At 51.1% G+C, this 19,587-nt stretch overlaps 1 protein-coding gene across 4 annotated transcripts in view; it reads right to left on the reverse strand.

Moving 5' to 3' along the window:
- Positions 3,577-19,587, reverse strand: part of OLFM2 (olfactomedin 2) — an 82,798-nt gene continuing 66,787 nt past the window's right edge. For 2 of the 4 annotated variants that reach the window (NM_058164.4, NM_001304347.2), the window contains exons 2-6: positions 10,504-10,653; positions 7,574-7,720; positions 7,122-7,341; positions 6,666-6,772; positions 3,577-4,722 (exon numbers count right to left, since the gene is read on the reverse strand). In NM_058164.4, coding sequence (NP_477512.1) covers positions 4,045-4,722; positions 6,666-6,772; positions 7,122-7,341; positions 7,574-7,720; positions 10,504-10,653 — 1,302 coding nt within the window. In that variant the 3' untranslated portion in view covers positions 3,577-4,044. Of the gene's footprint in view, positions 4,723-6,665; positions 6,773-7,121; positions 7,342-7,573; positions 7,721-7,955; positions 8,035-10,503; positions 10,654-13,237; positions 13,381-19,587 lie in introns of those variants that run through there. The other 2 variants (XM_047439713.1, NM_001304348.2) reach the window with 2 other exon arrangements.

Raw genomic sequence — 19,587 nt, forward strand, 5'->3', positions numbered from 1 at the left:
CCCCTGTTCAGTCGGGGGGCTGTGGGTCTGATGGAGAAGTGGTTATTCCTGCATGCCCTGTTCCCCCTCCACTTGATGGGGACCAGCCCAGATTGCGGGGGTGCCTGGCTGGCAGAGCTTAGGGACCTGAGCAACTAAAGCCCGGCCCCAGGGGACCTCCCCTCCCCCAAGCGCTGAGTTTCTAATAAAGGCCAAGCCTCATAAACAATCACCTGTGCCCGCTCCCATCTGGCTGGCTTCGGGAGCAATCGCTCATTCGCCTGCTGCCTGCCTGCCGGAGCATTTGTCATTAGGAAGGTTTAATGGGTTTCCTCTCAGCTCCAGAGGGCTGGGGAGAGCCGGCTGCATGGATACACCGCCAGGCAGAATGTTCTCCCATCGCCTGGTGGAGGGGGGTTGGGAGTGAGGCAGCCATGCCACCATTCACACCAACAGTTGGATGTGGGGTTGGGGAAGTGACTGCACCCCTCCTGGAACAGTAGAGGCCCTGGGTCTGGAAGGATCGGAAATTAGTGGCTGGGGCCCAGAGGGTTTGCTGAGTTCCACTCCAGGGTGAAGAATGGGCTTTGTGTCCTGACCATCAGCAGCAGGGCCCAGGGAAGGCTGTGCATCGTTCTGTGTGGGAGCCGCTGCCCCCACCCGTGTGTATGTGTGTCTGCGTTTGCCCAAGAATGTGTGGGGCCATGTGACTGGTCGTCTCTCTGTCCTGTGCATTTTGGGAGTCCTCCGGTTCTGAGAGTCCTCCGGTTCTGAGTGTGACCACCTGCCCCTCCAGGTACCCCCTTCCCTTGTCTGTCTGTGCAGTGGCCAAAACCCAAATGAGAATGTCGCTGTTAGGTAAACATGCCTCCAGAGCCCACTTCGGGGCCGGTGATTCATTATTAAGCAGCTGCGCATTCCCTCACCTCCCACCCACCCCCTCACCCCCTCCTGTCTAGAACCAGGGCATAAATCCCAGGCCTTTAGGATGGTGACAGTGTAGTCTTCCCTAGTGCCACTTACAGGCACCTCCCAGGCCAGACCCGCCCCAGGGGGTCAGTCTCTACGTGCCCCTGGCTTCTGTGGCCGCTGGGCAGAGCTGGAGCAGGTCACCTTGGGGTAAACGGTATTACTGCCCCAGGACAGGAGTTGGCTTCGCTGTGCCCACGTCCATGATGAGAGGGGAAGTCAGTGAGTTAGCAGTGGATAGCCGAAGACGCACACAGATTGATCCTGGCCTGGGAAATGTTAGTCTGCCTGCCCATCCTTGTTTGTAACAAAAGCCACAAACTCAAAAGGAGCTCTGAGCGTGTGTGTGTGTGTGTGTGTGTGTGTGTGTGTGTGTGTGATCTCTCTGAGGACCTGATACAGATGTGATGGACACACCCACACCCAGCCCTAATCTCGGTGTGAGGATGTGGCTCCCCAGCACTCAGCATAGTGTGGACACAGATTGTGGACCTCAGCAGCCTCAATTCTCCACCTTACTTTAGGAGAATCCAGTATCTAAGGCCGATAAACTACCTCGTCCCCTCACTGTGGAGACTCTCTGCCTCCAAATAAATGTGAGTTGGGGGGGATACAGATGTTCTAGGTGTCCTGGCTTTGTGCTGCTTTTCATTTCTTCAGCAGGTACAGGGTAAAGTGCCTCTCCACATGCTAATCCGGGAATTAATCCTTTTTCCGATGTCAAACATATTCGCTTAAATGGAAATTAATTGCTTTTCTTGAGGATTTCTCTAAAAATTGGTTTTAAATGAGTACATTAGGCAGTCCCATTTATTATTCGTTGGTTTCGTTCCCAATATGGCCCCGGTATCCGAGTTCCCGGAGATGCCAGCACGGAGCGGAGATGATTTAATCAGGGTAACCATTAATTAGAGATGAGGAGAGCCTCCCCCAGGAGGAGTGGGAGTGCCCCCTTTGTGGCCTCAGCAGGGTGGCGGTCTGGGCCAATAGGGCTCTTTAAATGATTGTTTCTGCTCTGGATTCAATAGGGACCAACCACTGGGGTCAACATGGGGCAGGATCACCTGGGCAGCACCCCCTACCTTCATTCTTGGTCCCTCAGCCCCAAGGGTGACGCTCCTCACCTTTCTTGTACCCCTTCCAACTAGCCTGGCTGCACCCCTTAGGTCTGCCTCATGCAGGCCTTCAGACAGGCCTGGCTCGTATAAAGCCCTCATCTGGTTCTTCCCCTTCTGTGACTTCCCTTCCCCTGCCTTTAGCCAGATCTCTAAGGCTGCTGAGGACTTAGCGTCTCCTTTTTTATTTTTTAGATTGAGACAAGGTCTCACTCTGTGGCCCAGGCTGCAATGCAGTGGCACTCATGGTTCATGGCAGCCTCGAACTCTTGGGTTCAAGAGATCCTCCCACCTCAGCCTCCCGAGTAGCTGGGACTATAGGCGCACGCCACCATGCCTGGCTAATTTTGTAAAATTTTTTTAGAGACGAGGTCTTGCTATGTTGCCCAGGCTGGTCTTGAACTCCTGGGCTCAAGCAGTCCTTCCCCCTCAGTCTCCCAAAGTGCTGAGATTACAGGCATGAGCTGCTGCATCCAGCCTACTCCTAGTTCAGTCCCTTCCTGTCTCCCTCATACTCTTCTTTCCTGCCTCCAAAACTTCTTGTCTTTTCCTCTCCTTCCCCTCCAAGAATTCTGGTCCCCCATCAAGGGCTGTCCCTGCCCAATCCCTCCTGCAGGCAAACAGGCTCCAGGTGTGAGGTATGAGTGTGTTCAATTGAAGGCACCTGAGTGCCCCTTTAAAAGGCTGTTTCTAGCTTTTTTGGGATTAGTTTACTCGGCACAAATGTGACTTGTCTAAAAACGATTTTTGAAATTACAAAGCAACAAGAGAAAAAAGAAAATGGAAAAATTCAGCTGGGCCCTACTCTTTCATACTCAGCTTCTTAAAAGCCAGCTCGATTGTTAAAAACCCATTAAAAAATTGCCAGACTGGCCGGGCTCAGTGGCTCACGCCTGTAATCCCAGCAGTTTGGAAGGCCGAGGGGAGCGGATCACTTGAGCCCAGGAGTTCAAGACCACCCTGGACAACATGGCAAAACCCCCATCTCTACTAAAAACACAAAAATTAGCCTGGCATGGTGGTGCGTGCCTGTAATCCCAGCTACTCGGAAGGCTCAGGCACGCGAATCGTGTGAACCTGGGAGGTGGAGGTTGCAGTGAGCTGAGATCATGCCACTGCACTCCAGCGTGGGTGACAGAGCAAGACTGTCTCAAAAAAAAAAAAAAGAAAAAAAAAATTCCAGACCTCTTAGTAATGCATCAACAGTGATTGCAGAGTGGCAATCCAGTGACGGGAGAATACTCATTTGAGGCCAGTTTTCATTGCTGTGCTAGAATTCTCGGTTGTTTTGATCAAACTGCTTTTAAACGAATTGCTTTCGATCAAAACAACTTTGGATTGGGTCTCCTCACCCATCTCCCCAAAGGGCTGGCCCTGGGGAACCCCTTCCCCCCAGTTCGCTTAAGCTTGAGTCATGGAATAAGGGGATCCTCACTGGAGATGGGTCTCCAGGCTTGGACTTCGGGGCCACCTCCACCTCTGTCGCCATTGGACACACACAGTCACCGAAGCGTCAAATGTCAAAGGTCCTGTTTATTCCGGCAAACCGGAAAGAAAAAGTGTAAATAAAAAAAGAAACAGATCCATGCACTCAACTCCTGGGGGTGGGGGTGGGGGTGGGAGTGAGGGATGAGGAATGGGTGGGAAGCAAGGAGGGAGGGGTGGAAGGACAGAGAGAGAGAGACAGAGAGAGGCAGAGACGGAAAGAACTGGAGAACCAGAGCCATAAAAAGAAAAAGACATCCATAAAAAGGCAGAAAGAAAGAAGTGGTGTATTAAAAGCAGAGATCAATAAAGGAGAAGAGGGGAAATTGAAAAAATAGACAGAAATACATAGGCAGAGAACAAAAGCCCAGCAAAAAGGCGGGGAGAAAGGGCGTGACAGAGACAGAGAGATCACCCTTGAGGGACACAGGCAGAATGAAAAGGGCCCCCAGCCCCCAGAGGCCCCCCAGGCAGCAGCCCGAGCCACAGCATTGGCTCAGGGGTCCCCAGAGGTGCTGATGACGTGAAACAGGGTGACATTGTAGAGCACCTGGTGGCCGTTGTTCCAGGTATAGAGGGCGCGCTCCCGGGGGTTGTAATCCAGCATCGAGATGTGGGAATACTGGTTGTGGAAGGGCACGTCCGTGTACTCGTAACTGGACGTGTTGGTAAAATAGGCGAAGTAGACCTTGGCCCCAGCCAGGTGGGAGTTGGTCACGTAGAGCACACCGCAGATCATGAAGGCCTCGCCAGCGCTGCGCTTGGGGTAGCCGGTGTCCCAGGACCGCATGACCTCGAGGGTGTGCGGGTCCAGCCGGCTGACCACGATGTTGCCCGCGTTCTGGTTGGTGGTGTACACAGCCCAGAGCCCGCTCTCGTCCACCATGAAGTCCATGTCGGAGAAGCCGCCCCAGGAGTAGGGGAAGGTGTTGTTGTAACCGGCGCCCGGGAGGCTCCTCTGCACCAGCACAGAGCGCGAGCGGAAGTGGTATTTGACCACCACGTTGCTCTGGTACTTGTTATAGAACAGGGAGCCGTTGTACACCACGTGGCCCGTGCCCGCCCACGGCTGGGGCAGCAGGTGCTGGATAAAGTTCTGGCCTTTGATGAAGTCTCCCAGGGTACGGAACTCCAGGACCCGGCGGCCTTTGTAATAGCCATCCATGTACCAGACCTATGGTAGCAGCCGCTGGTCACTGGGGGGAACCACCACCAACGACCCAAGGGTCCCAGCACCAGCTACAGCCATTAGAGTTCAACAGTCACTAAGTGGTCATTAGTCATGGGAACTCTGTTGACCATTCATTACCAATTATGGCCCTAGTGTGACCATGATCATCTCCTGGTGACAGCATTAACCATGGGCAGTGAATTCAAGTGACGTCTTATCACTCAATGGCTGTCCAGTGACCACTAACCACCCAATATCCAATGACCAGGGAATTCCTGGGCCCAGTGAGTCCCCAGGGGCTGCAGTTTCTTGGGGAACTGCATGGCCCCAGTAGGACCCAAATCCCAGTGAGTGCTATTGGTCTTTTTTTTTTTTAAGTAATTTTTTTTTTTTTTTTTGAGATGGAGTCCCTCTCTGTTGCCCAGGCTGGAGTACAGTGGCGTGATCTCAGCTCACTGCAACCTCCGCCTCCCAGGTTCAAGTGATTCTCCTGCCTCAGCCTCCTGAGTAGCTGGGATTACAGGCGCATCCCACCACACCCGGCTAATTTTTGTATTTTTAGTAGAGATGGGGTTTCACCATGTTGGTCAGGCTGGTCTCAAACTCCCGACCTTGTGATCCACTGTCTCAGCCTCCCAAAGTGCTGGGATTACAGGCATGAGCCACCACGCCTGGCCTTTTTTTTTCTTTTGAAACAAAGTCTCACTGTTTTTCCCAGGCTGGCGGGCAGTGGCACAATCACGGCTCACTGCAGCCTCGACCTCCCAGGCTCAAGCAATCCTCTCACCTCAGCCCCCCGGAATAGCAGGGACTACAGGCACAAGTCACCACGCCCAGCTTATTTATTGTATCTTTAGTAGAGACAAGGTCTCGCAATGTTGCCCAGGCTAGTCTCAAACTCCTGAGCTCAAGTGATCTGCCTGCCTCGGCCTCCTAAAGTGCTGGGATTACAGGCGTGAGCCACTGCACCTGGCCACTATTGATCTTAAAACAGACCCTAAGTGGACAATGCTCCATCCCAAAGGACCCAGGGAACTGCAGCCCCTGGGGAGTCACTGGGCCCAGGAATTCCCTGGTCATTGAATATTGGGTGGTTAGTGGTCACTGGACAGCCATTGAATGATAAGACATCACTTGAATTCACTGCCATGGTTAACTAACCCCTGTCACCATGAGGTGACCAGGCGTGTCATCAACATCATTGTTGTCATCATGTTAACTAGCATTTGTTGTTGTTTTTGTTTTGTTTTGTTTTGAGACAGAGTTTCACTCGTGTTGCCCAGGCTGCAGTGCAATGGTGCGATCTTGGCTCACTGCAACCTCTGCCTCCAGGGTTCAAGTGATTCTCCTGCCTCAGCCTCCCGAGTAGCTGGGATTACAGGCATGCACCACCATGTCCGGCTAATTTTGTATTTTTAGTAGAGACAGGGTTTCTCCATGTTGGTCAGGCTGGTCTCGAACTCCCGACCTCAGGTGATCCGCCCACCTCAGCCTCCCAAAGTGCTGGGATTACAGGCATGAGCCACCATGCCCAGCCTCATGGATGGTTCTTGTGTGTCTAAGTGATGGGCAGTCATGACCATGGAAGCTACTAGAAGTCCGAAGGTCACTGAGCAGTGCTTGGTGGAAGAGGTCTCTTGTCCTTGGGAGGGCATTGGTCATTGGGTAGTTACTTGGACGTCAGTAGTCCCTGAGAACTGGTCAGTAGAACTCAGTAACCATTAGCCACTATACAGACACTGGAGGTCAACAGAGTGGGATTCACAAGGCTGCAAAGCCCTTGGTCACTTGGGGGTTACTGGACAGGGAGGTCCAATGGCCCTGGGGGATCCAGGACACTTTGGGCTACAAGACAGTCACCAGTGTGGACTCCCTAGGCACCTATGGGCAGTCAAAGGCTCTGTCCCTCCCAGGCCCTGACCCCAGGGGTGGGCGCAGTCACTCACCCGGCTATCCGCACTGGGGGCCATCGTGTCAGTCATCCAGGAGCCGAAGCGGGACCCCATGGCCCGAACGGTGATGGGGTTACTGACCCCGGTCAGCTTCCCACAGCCTGGGAGGCAGGAACAGGGGGAATGAGGATGGGGAAATGAACAGCCCAAGAGAGGCCAGGCAAAGATGAAGTGCTGTGATCAAGTTGGGAAAGCTGGGACCAGGGATGAGGGAAGACTCAAAAATCTGGTCCCAATATGTTGTTCAGTTGTGAGTGAGGGGTTAGAGGCCAAGGGTCAGGGCCATTTCCAGCTTCTGGACTCAAGTGTAGCCTTAGGTAGGAAGGTCAAGGGTTGAGGTTTAAAAGTTAGAGGTCAAAACTGTGTCCAGCTTCTAGGCACAAACAGGTGATACTGGAGTTGGGTGTGGCAGTCAGAGATCAGGGGTCAGGGTCAAGGGCCAAGGCATACCCAGCTTCTGGGCGCAGGCGTGGAGCCGGGCCTCCAGGGCCATCACCCGTTGCTGCAGGTCCTCATACCCGTAGGCACCCATCTCCTCCTGAATGGCCGCCAGACTGCCGGAGAGATTCCTCACCTCCTCCCGCAAGCGTACAATGGTCCGCGTGTCTGCCTTGTACTGCTCCAGGACCGAGCTCAGGGGCAACAGTTCCGTCATCCTGTCCTTCAGCTCCTGTGCATCAAGATGGAACCATGGCCAAGCCTGACCCCTGGCCTTTGACCCAGACATGACTCCAACCTCTGACTCATAACTTCACCCTTTGTCTTTGATGCACACCTGGCCCTTGACATGTGGCTCATATTGGACCCTAGATTCTTCCCAGACATGACTCCATTGTAGGAACTAATGGATACCAAATCCCAGTCATTTGTTTGACCTCTGGTCTGGACACAGGAGGACCCACCTGGAAGCTCTTGGCCGAGAGGGACCCATCAGCTGCCCGGAGCCGCGCATCCAGGCTCCGCATGAGGGTCTCCATGCCGCGTACATACTGGAGGTCGCGATACGTCCGCAACTCAAGGACCTCCATGGACTGGGAGACGTTCTGGACCTAGGAATGGGGACAACTGAAGGGACCAGACCTCCTTCCCCAAATCCCAACCCAGAGATGCCACAGACAAGAGCTGGCAGGAACAGAGGCTGTACAAACACCACACCGACGAGGCCACCTTCTCCTCCCCTGAGCTTACCAGCAGCCTCCCAATTGCGTGCCCAATCCATCCATCCATCGCTCCCTCCCTACTACCCACTGGCTCCCATCTGGTCCACCTACCACCACCTCTCACCTCCTCCCTAGTCTCCCAGTTCCACCTTCATCCCCTGTAGTCAATTCTCTACACAGCAGACAGAAGGAACTTTCAAAACAGAGATTAGATCACCTTCCTCCTCCACAGATCCTGTGCTGGCTGGTCCTGCCCACCCCCCCCGCCCAACCCACTTCCTCTCTCTTTGTTCTCACAGACTCTAAGCTCCTTCCTTCTGCAGGGTCTTTGCACTTGCTGGTCTCTCTACCTGGAGTGCTGTTCCCCCAAGTTCCCATGGCTGGCTCCTTCTCATCCTTCAGGGTTCAGCTCCAGCGTCCCCCACTCAAAGCATCCTTCCCTGACCACCCTGTCCGGTAGCCGCTCACTCACTCTCCTCTTGCCTGGTCATTTCCTTCCCAGCTGTGACTATGTAGAACATTCTTATCCATCTGCCTCCTTCAGGTGGGACCCTCAGAGGCAGAGGCTGCGTCTAGCTTGTCCACAGCTTAACCTCCAGTGCCCAGCACTGGCCTGGAGTAGAGGCCCAATAAGTATTTTTTGGCTGAATGAGTAAAATAAACTTCCCTTGCCCTGGCCTCTCCTGACCCAACCTGAGAGCACCCAGCTCCCACCTCCACCTGGCTACGGTGAACTCCACCTAGATAAGTTGAACTCCCCCTGGCTAAGGTAGACTCCCATCTGACTAAGGTGAACATCTGGCTAAGGTAGCCACCTTGTTAAGGTGAACTCCATCTCTGGCTTAAGTAGACTCTCACCTGGCTAAGGTAGACTCCAGCTGGCTAAGGTGAACACCTGGCTAAGGTAGACTCCCACCTTGTTAAGGTAGACTCTCACTTGGCTAAGATGAACACCTGGCTAAGGTAGACCCTCACCTGGCTAAGGTAGACCCTCACCTGGCTAAGGTAGACCTTTACCTGGCTAAGGTAGACTCTCACCTGGCTAAGGTAGATTCCCACCAGCTTCACCTGACTAAAGTGGACTCTGCCTGGCTAAGGTAAACTCAGTCAGAGTTACCACTGGATGCTTGTTGAAATACAGACTTTCCTGTACAATTATTCACATGACACTTGGAAACTCCCAGAAACTCAGCAGCCTAATACCCACCCTGAACGCCACAAAACATTTTTACATACTCTTCCCTTCTCCACAGTTTCACGTTTCAGCTACCTGAGGCCAACCACAGTCCAAAAATATTAAGTGGGAAATTCCAGAAATCAACAATTTGTAAGTTTTATTTATTTATTTATTTATTTATTTGAGATGGAGTCTTGCTCTGTCTTGCCCAGGCTGGAGTGCAGTGGTGCCATCTCAGCTCACTGCAACCTCCACCTCCCGGGTTCAAGCAGTTCTCCTGCCTCAGCCTCCCGAGTAGGTGGGACTACAGGCACACACCACCACGCCCGGCTAATTTTTGTATTTTTGGTAGAGGCTGATCTCAAACTCCTGACCTCAAGTGATACACATGCCTCAGCCTCCCAAAGTGCTGGGATTACAGGCGTGAGCTACCACGCCCGGCCCAGGGGACTATTTTCTCTTGACCATGATCAGAGGTAGAAGGAAACTTTTATAGGAGCCTCTTGAGGTGGAGGGTTAGACCCTCCCCAAGGGGCACAGAACTCCTTCTTAGTAGGTGAGTCTGGTGAACTGCAAAGCTGGGTGGGACATGCCTGGTGGACCAGAGCTCACACACAGGAGACTCAGATGCTGCCCCTCCAGTCTTCCTTCCTTCCCCCCACCCCAATCCCAGTAAGTGCTTGGCTTCTCTCCCAAAAAAGCATTGAACAGGCAGGGCGCAGTGGCTCACGCCTGTAATCCCCGCACTTTGGGAGGCCAAGACAGGCAAATCACCTGCAGTCAGGAGTTCAAGACCAGCATGACTAATATGGTGAAACCCCATCTCTGCTAAAAATAAAAAAATTAGCTGGGCGTGGTGGCACACGCCTGTAATCCCAGCTACTCGGGAGGCTGAGGCAGGAGAATTGCTTGAACCTGGGAGGTGGAGGTTGCGGTGAGCTGAGATCGCGCCACTGCACCTGCACTCCAGCCTGGGCGACAGAGTGAGACTGTCTCAAGGAGAAAAAAAAAAAAAATACATTGAACAGATATTGGATAAAGTATCCATCTGGGCATGGTGGCTCACACCTGTAATCCCAACACTTTGGGAGGCTGAGGCAGGAGGATCACTTGAGCCCAGGAGATTGAGACCAGCCTGGGCAACATAGGGAGACCCCGTCTCCACAAAAAATATAAAAATTAGGGCATGGTGGTGCATGTCTGTAGTCCCAGCTACTCAGAGGCTGAGGAGTGGGGATTGCTTGAACCTAGGAGTTTGAGGCTGCAGTGAGCTGATCATGTCACTGCATTCCAGCCTGGGTAACAGAGTGAGACCCTGTGTTAAAAGGAAAAAAAAAAAAAAAGGACCTGCCTGGAGAGGAGCTGGATTATCAGCCAGCTCTGAATAATTTGCATAGCTGGATATGGCCACTGGCTGACCTGGATGGGGCTGGAGGGCGGGGTGAGAACTGGGAGATTTTCCCAGCTGCCCCCAGGGTACCTGGAAGGTTCTCACCTTCTCCATCAGTTGCCGCAGCTCCCGACTCCTGCCATCTCGAGAGCAGGTACTCTGCGCTGGGATCACGGCCGTGCAGATGCATTTCCCGTCAGGGGCCTGGGCTGAGGTGTACAGCTGCCAGCCCTCTTCTGGGTTCTGGAAGAGAGTCTGCAAAGAGGTGGGGGTCAGAGACCGGAATCCCAGTGAGGGTCTCGCCTCGCCCTCACTGGGACAGGAAGGGGGCCCAAGGAAACCACAGATGCCCTTTGCTGGGCTCCGGGCATATGCCAGTGCCTGTTGTGTGTGATCTCAGGCCCTCCTTAAGGAGCCTCATTTCACGGATGGCAAGACTGAGGTGCGGAGGGCTTAAGGAACACGGCAAGGAATTGGAGGACTCAAATCTTCTCCAAGACCAGAATTCATTCTCTCACACAGATTTGCACGCACACAACACTGTCTCTGTGACTGCCATTAGAACAGAGATCCACTCAAATAACCCCCAAACCTGGACCTCCTCTCTGCTTCCCCAGCCCACAGTGACATATCGGCTCTGGAGCTATCTCAGGGCCACTTAATGTTTTTTTTTTTTTTTGGTTTGTTTTTTGTTGTTGTTTGTTTTTGAGACACAGTCTTGCCCTGTCACCCAGGCTGGAGAGCAGTGGCGCGATCTGGGCTCACTGCAACCTCCGCCTGTCTCCAACACCTGGCCTCCACTCCAGCCTGGGTAACAGAGTGAGACCCTGTCTCACAAAAAAAAAAGGATCTCACCTCAGGTGATCCACCCGTCTCAGCCTCCCAAAGTGCTGGCATTACAGGCGTGAGCCACCGTGCCCGGCCATCAGGGCCACCAAATGTTAAGTGCAACCCTGCTGTGCCCCCACCTCACCTGGAGCCACCCAGGCAAAGTGATGGCAGACAAAATGCTCAGATAATCCAGTGACCAATTATGGCTTTGTTTCCCAAGCCATACTCCTTCCAACACTGGTAATCTTACCAGGTGTGCTGGGAAAAGGATGCTCTGTGGTCAAATAAATGTGTGTCACTGGGTGAAACAAGTTTTGTTACTGCAGGACTTATCAGAGGCTTAGAAATGCAAATAAGTACCAGGGAACTCTAGACACAAATCATAAACTTCCAAACTGATTAGAAGACACCCCTGAGGCAGGTGGATCACCTGAGGTCAGGAGTTTTGAGAACAGCCTGGCCAACATGGCAAAGCCCCATCTCTACTAAAAATACAAAAATTAGCCAAGTATGGTGGCGGGCACCTGTAATCTCAGCTACATGGGAGGCTGAGGCAGGAGAATGGCTTGAACTTGGGAGGCGGAGGTTGCAGTGAGCTGAGACTGCGCCACTGCGCTCCAGCCTGGGCGACAGAGCAAGACTCCGTCTCAAAGAAAAAAAAAAAAAAAAAAAAAGAAGATATCCATGAGAGTCTCTTCTGTCCCAGGCATAGGGTCTGGGATAGGATCAAGGAAGAGAAGGAATGAAGAAAACATCTGGTGGTTGTCCATGGAGCTACTAGGAGAGACGGACATCAACCACTTAATGCCAGTGATACTTCTAGAACCACATGCTGCAGTGAGTGCTTTGAAGAAGTAGTGCAGGGAGTAACAGGGGGTCTTCCCTCAGGCTGAGGGTCTCTGAGGAGGTATCCAAGAGAATGGGCTCTTGAGATGAACTTGAGGGACGAGTGAGACAGAAGAAAAGGAGAAGGCAGGGGACATTTCTATCATTACAAATCCTGATCAATGTCTGGAGGGACCCAGGAATGGTGGCTCACGCCTGTAATCCCAGAATTTCAAGAGGCTGAAGGGGGCGGATCACTGAAGGTCAGGAGTTTAAGGCCACCCTGGGCAACATAACAAGACCTCATCTATACTAAAAATTAAAAAAAAAAAAAAATTAGCTGGATGTAGTGGCATGCACCTGTGGTCCCAGCTACTCACAAGGCTGAGGCAGGAGGATTGCTTGGGTACAGGAAGTTGAGGCTGCAATGAGCTATGGCTGTGCCACTGCACTCCAGCCTGGGTGACAGAGTGAGACCCCATCTCTTAAAAAAAACAGGCCAGACGCGGTGGCTCACACCTGTAATCCTAGCACTTTGGGAAGTGGAGGCAGGTGGATCACCTGAGGTCAGGAGTTCCAGACCAGCTTAGCCAACATGGTAAAACCCCGTCTCTACTAAAAATACAAAAATTAGCCGGGCATGGTGATGTGCGCCTATAATCCCAGCTACTTGGGAGCCTGAGGCAGGAGAATCGCTTGAACCTGGCGGGGTGGGGGCAGCGAGCCGAGGTTGCAGTGAGCCGAGATCACACCACTTTACTCCAGCCTGGGCAAAAGAGTGAAACTCTGTCTCAAAAAAAAAAAAAAGGATGTGGGGGGACGTGAGGGTTGTGGGGTGACTGGCTTGGGCTTGCACACGTAGGCGTCGTTTGTTCAAAACCTGAAGTCTTTGTTCAAGACCTGAAGGAAGTGAGGGAGGAGCCATTTGGATGTCTGGGGAAGGGGTTCCAGGCAGAGAGAACAGCAAGTAGAAAGGCTGAGGCAGGACCATGCCTGGTGTGTTTGTGAAACAAGGAGGAGGCCCATGTGGCTGGAGCAGATTGAGTAAGGGGTAAGTGGAGGCAGATGAGAGAAGGGAGGTGATGGGGCAAGGCCTTGTGGGAAGCAGTGAGGGCTCTGGGTTCTGCCCTGAGGAAGGTGGGAGCCATGGAGGGTTCTGTGCAGAGGCGAGACGTGACCTTACTTGGGTGTTCACAGTGACCTCTGGCTGCTCTAGGGAACGAGGGAGGGAGGCCAGGGCAGGGGTGACTGCACAGATCCAGACAGGTGATGATGGGTGGTGGCCATAGAGGCGGTAAATGGAAGATTCTGGTCCTATTCCAGGATGCATTCTGACAGGCATGGAAGAAATTCTGATTAAAAAAACCCCAGTGTTTTACAGAGAAACAAAGCACCACAATCATTGATCATTTGCACAGCCATTACTAGATCTCCCAGCAGAATCGGTGCCGTGAGCTGCAGCACAGATAAACCAAGCTGTGAATTATGAGCGATCCCGGGGACTCCAACTATTAGCCCACCTTTTTCTCTCCCACTCAATCGAGTCTTTTTTTTTTTAAGGCTTATTGGAATATGAGCAAATGATATAATTGTACAAATTATACAGATGAGCTTGACTCCCCCACTAATCTATAAGGAAAACAAACCATTCATAAACGCCAGCTGAAACTATTACAGTCAGTCATTCTTCGAGCCTTTGTACACCCTTCCTAAATGGGGGGAACCCCCTCTTTGTAAGTTGCACATCCTCAGCCCTGGCAGCGGAGCACAGTAACTCACTTTCTCCGCCTTCCTTGTACTCAGGTAGGAGCTGGGTGGAGCTAACATTCACTGCAGGTGTGCCCAGGATTGGCCACAGCCAAGAGCTTTCTCTGGTGGTCATATCCCACCCTGCCCTTGCATGGGGCCAGCAGAAAATACACCCAGCAATCCTCAGAGATGACCTACAGGCATTCGTGATTAATACCACCCCTCTTGCCTCTCCAGTGGGAAAGAACTCGAAGGTGTATGTTCATGAAATCTTCCAGGGCAACCCATTAGATTTACACCTCAGTTGTCCACAGCAGCAACCTGCTCATTACTTCTCTTTTATTTATTCGTTTATTTTATTATTTTTCATTTTTGAGACAGACTCTCGCTGTGTCTCCCAGGCTGGAGGGCAGTGGTGCGATCTTGGCTCACTGCAACCTCCACCTCCTGGGTTCAAGCGATTTTCATGCCTCAGCCTCCCGAGTAGCTAGGATTACAATCACCCACCTCCATGCCTGGCTAATTTTTGTATTTTTAGTAGAGATAGGGTTTCACTATGTTGGTCAGGCTGGTCTCGAACTCCTGGCCTCAAGTGATCCGTCCACCTTGGCCTCCCGAAGTGCTGGGATTGCAGGCGAGAGCCATTGCGCCTGGCACATTTATTTATTTTTTTAAGATGGGGTCTTGCTGTCGCTCAGGTCTGGGTCTTGCTGTCACCCACCACTGGAGTGCAGTGGTGCAATCCTAGCTTACTGCAGCCTCGAACTCCTGGGTTTAAGCCATCCCCTCCCACATCTGCCTCCTGAGTAGCTGGGCCTACAGGCAGGTACCAACACACCCAGCTTTTTTTTTTTTTTTTTTTTCCTTTTGTAGAGATAGTCTTGCTTTGCTGCCCAGGCTGGTCTTGAACTCCTGGGCTCAAGCGATCCACCTGCCTCGGCCTCTCAAAGTGCTGGTATTACAGGTGTGAGCCACTGCGCCTGGCGTACTCATTAAGTCTCCCGGCACGGGTTTCCTTCACCTCCTCTCTCACTTCACTGCTCCCCCACTGGTTCTTCCTGGGGTATCTTAGGTGGATACCTGCACTTAAATCCTCCCTGAAAGAGCCTGACCTAAGACAACAAGGATGGCCCAGTACAAGAGGAATACCCCAAGAAAGCCTGCCCCTTTGGTTCTGGGAGGATCCAGAACTACTCTCCCACCTCCCTTCTTCTTCTTCTCCTCTTTTTTTTTTTTTGGAGATGGAGTCTCACTTGGTCACCCAGGCTGGTGTGCAGTGGTACTATCAGGGCTTTTGGCAGCCTCAACCTCCTGGGCTTAAATAGTGATTCCTCCCACTTCAGCCTCCCGAGTAGCTGAGACTAAAGGCCTTTAGTCTCACCATCGCACCTACTAATTTTTAAATTTTTTTGTAGAGATGGGAGTCTTGCTATATTGTCCAGTATGGTCTCAAACTCCTGGGCTCAAGCGATCCTCCTGCCTCAGCCTCCCAAAGCACTGGGATTACAAGGCATGAGTCACTGTTACCTCTCTGTTTTTTCTTTTTTTTTTTTTTTTTTTTTTTTGAGAGGGAGTCTTGCTCTGTCGCCCAGGCTGGAGTGCAATGGCGGGATCTCGGCTCACTGCAGCCTCTGCCTCCCAGGTTCAAGCAATTCTCCTGCCTCAGCCTCCCAAGTAGCTGGGATTACAGGCATGCACCACCACGCCTGGCTAATTTTTGTATTTTTAGTAGAGACAGGGTTTCGCCATGTTGGCCAGGCTGGTCTTGAACTCCTGACCTCAAATGATCCACCCGCCTTGGCCTCCCAAAATGCTGGGATTACAGGCATGAGCCACCGTGCCCGGCCCTCCCTTCTTGATAAATCTCATTCTTAAAAAAAAAAAAAAAAAACAAAGAAAAACATCAAACAGGAGCCCAAGCATCCCTGCCCCTCCTCCCCTGGCTCTAGTCCCCAAGCAATTTGGATAGAAACCCCCAAGGAATATCTTTTGTGCAGAGACAAAGCCGCCGGTTCAACGTAATTAACATCTTCCTACATTGCCTAGCGTGTCCGTTGAAGCAAATAAGCCATTTTCTCTCGACAGAGGAAATATTGAATTGTAAAAGAGAAGCAAGATTTAAGTGGTGCAGAGAGAAGGCCTCCATGGTTTTCCTAAAATAATTGTCTGCGTTGGACGCATCTCACCGGAGTGTTCTCTGCAGCAGTGTAATTAAATGCCTGGGTTTTGGCTGCCAGATCGCAGCAGGCAGAGGTCCTGAGTTTTGCCCATTGGGTTTAAGTTCAGATATGCAGTTAATGCATGTCCCTAGGAACCGCTGGAATGTTCTGGAATGTACCATGTGCTAGCTCTCCCAGACTGGGTCTAGCTTGGAAACAAAGTCAAGAGTTCTTGGCAGTCAGAAGACTAGAGAGGAACAGAGAGTGTCCTACTCTAGGGGAAATGCTTACAACAGCAGGTGCAAGAACACAGGCGTTCTCCAGCATAGAAGTCTGTGGTCTAGCAGCCTGTCTCACCTCGGATGTGGCAGATGTACTAAAGAAGCCAACCCACTTTTTTTTTTTTTTTTTTTTGAGACAGGGTCTTGCTCTGTTGCCTAGGCTGGAGTGCAGTGGCATGATCTAGGCTCACTGCAGCCTCAACTTCCCTGACTCAAGCAATCCTCCCACCTCAGCCTCCCGAGCAGCTGGGACTACAGGCATGCACCATCACGACTGGCTATTTTTTTTGGTAGAGACGGGGATCTCACTACATTTCCTAGGCCGATCTTGAACTCCTGGGCTAAAGTGATCCACCCGCCTTGGCCTCCCAAAGTGCTGGAATTATAGGCGTGAGCTATCACGACGGCCCTGCCAACCCACTCTCTCTTTGCTGAGCTCTTGGTTCAGGGTTTAATATTCCTGCTAATGGGCTTTAAGGGAGTGAAGCTATGCACTCAAGTATCTGTTCCTCAAATGTCTTTTCTGGCTGAAATCTTACAAACACTTTTGCTGAGGCTGCCCTAATTAAACACCAGCCTCTAAAACAGGTCCAGGATTAACTGAGTAGGACACAGGCAGGGAAAGCTGTTCTTGCTGTCGGGCCAGGGATCATCATCTCCTACTACTCCACCACCTATATCTTGGTTCAAAAACAATTCCTGGTGGCCAGGCATGGTGGCTCACGCCTGTAATCCCAGCACTTTGGGAGGTGAAGGTGGGCGGATCACCTGAGGTCAGGAGTTCCAGACCAGTCTGGCCAACATGGTGAAACCCCATCTCTACTAAAAATACAAAAATTAGCCAGACGTGGTGGCAGGCACCTGTAAGCCCAGCTACTCAGGAGGCTGAGGCAGAAGAATTGCTTGAACCCAGGAGGCAGAGGTTGCAGTGAGCCGAGATCGTGCCATTGCACTCCAGCCTGGGCAATAGAGCGAGACCCCGTCTCAAAAAAACAACAATAACAACAACAAAAAAAAACAATTCCTGGTGTTTCCCTGGGGACGGAGGCATTGCTACAGGGTCCTGGGGACAGGAGAAGCATTGGCTATCAGGAAGTAGCCAACAGGAAGAGAGCAAGCGCCTGCCTCTTAATAAAATGAAGCTATTATTGTGTTTGAGGCTGGATAATTTAATCAGGAAGCCAAGGCACCTTGGGGCTTACATATTTATTTGTGCCCTGCCTTGTTCCAGAGAGGACTCTAAGTGGTTTACAAGGATATGTAAAATACCATAAGATAGCGCCAATTAAATATGAGAGCGGGGATTAGATATTTTTGGAGGACAGCCTGCCAGTCCACAGCCAAGCCATTACAGTTTCTGCAATTTGCATTTTATTCGGCCAATCCAAAGCTAAGAATTCAGCCCATGGAAACTTTGTGGACAGCATCTGATTGTTGCAAGGGAGGTTCATTAAGCATTGTTTAAAATTGGACAATTAGAAATTAATTTGATCAAAAGCTATTACACATGCTAGAAAAAAAATTTTTTTTTTTTGGAGACAGGGTCTTGCTCTGCCACCCAGGCTGGAGTACAGTGGCATGATCATAGCTCACTGCAGCCTTGATGTCCAAAGGCTCAAGCGATCCTCCCACCTCTGTCTCCTGAGTAGGTGGGACTACAGGTGTGAGCCACTAAACCAGGCTAATTTTTTTTTTTGAGATGGAGTCTCCCTCTGTTGCCCAGGCTGGAGTGCAATGGCGTGATCTTGGCTCACTGCAATCTCCACCTCGAGGGTTCAAGTGATTCTCCTGCCTCAGTCTCTGGAGTAGCTGGGATTACAGGCACCTGCCATTATGCCCGGCTAATTTTTGTATTTTTGTAGAGACGAGGTTTCACCATGTTGGCCAGGCTGGTCTTGAACTCCTGACCTCAGGTGATCTGCCCGCCTTACCCTCCCAAAGTGTTGGGATTACAGGTGTGAGCCACCACGCCTGGCCCAGGCTAATTTTTAAAAAGATTTTTTGTAGAAACAGGGACTAGCTATGTTGCCCAGCCTGGTCTCAAATTCCTGGGCTCAAGCAGTTCTCCCACCTCAGCCTCCCAAAGTATTGGGATTACAGGCGTGAGGCACTGTGTCCAGCCAATTTACAAATTTAAGATGCATCTACAGAATGAGATACTATGCAGTCATTAAAAATTAGAGATTAATGGAGATTTTAATCACCATCTTTAAATTTATCTTATTTTCCAAGTTTTCTACAATGAACGTGTATTGTTCTTATAAAGATTTTTAGGGCCGGGTGCAGTGGCTCACGCTTGTAATCCCAACACTTTGGGAAGCCAAGGCAGGAGAATCACTTGAGCCCAGGAGTTTGAGACCAGCCTGGGCAACATAGTAAAACCTCATCTCTACAAAAAATTTAAAAATTAGCATGGTGGCACATGCCTGCAGTGCCAGCTACTCAGGAAGCTGAAGTAGGAGGATCACTTGAGCCCAGGAGTTCATGGCTGCAGTGAGCTATGAAGGCGCCACTACACTCCAGCCTGCGTGACAAAGTGAGACCCTATCTCAAAAGAAAAAAAAAAGATTTTTAAAAGTCCCTTAAATTTTTTTTTTTTTTTTTGGCAAGGGAGAAAAAGAAGAAAAACAAAAGCAGGGACATAAAACAGAGCCAGAAACGAGGCTAAGAAAAACTCATCCCTTAAAAACCTGAACAATCAGCATATGGCCGGGCCATAAGTTTGGCTCCAAGCTCCTTAGCAGCCAACTCAGAAAGGGAAAGCTGGTCATTTATGCGGTTCTCAGTGTCCTGAAACAAAAGTACACCAGATGCTCAGGAGAAAGCTCAATTATTTTTGGCAGGGATTTCTCCCACAGTCCTCCCAAAAAGGATTCCACGTGATGTCACCAGCATCTCTCCGGGCAATATCCTTACGATAGAAGTGACTAGTTTCCTCTAGATGTTTCTTATTCCTCCTGGGATGGTAGAGTAGGGCCAACTGGTAAGAGCAGGGTCCTGGAGTCAGGCTGCCTGGGTTTAAGTTCTGGCTTCACCATTCGCTTGCTGTGTGACCTCAGCAAGTGGCTTAACCTCTCTGTGTCTTTCTTAGTTTTTTCATTTGTACAATGGACATGATGACTACCTACTTCTCTGGGTTGCTAGGAGGATCAAATGAGTTCATAATATATATAAGAGCAATTAGAACAGTCATCAGCATGTAGTAAGAGCTACACAAGTGTCTGCTAATACTATTATTTTTATTTTTTAAGAGACAGGGTGTCACTCTATCGTCCAGGCTGGAGTGCAGTGGCACAATCATGGCTCACTTCAGCCTCGAACTCCTGACCTCAAGCGATCCTCTG

Source organism: Homo sapiens, chromosome 19, assembly GCF_000001405.40.
Source record: "Homo sapiens chromosome 19, GRCh38.p14 Primary Assembly".
Classification (NCBI taxonomy): domain Eukaryota; kingdom Metazoa; phylum Chordata; class Mammalia; order Primates; family Hominidae; genus Homo; species Homo sapiens.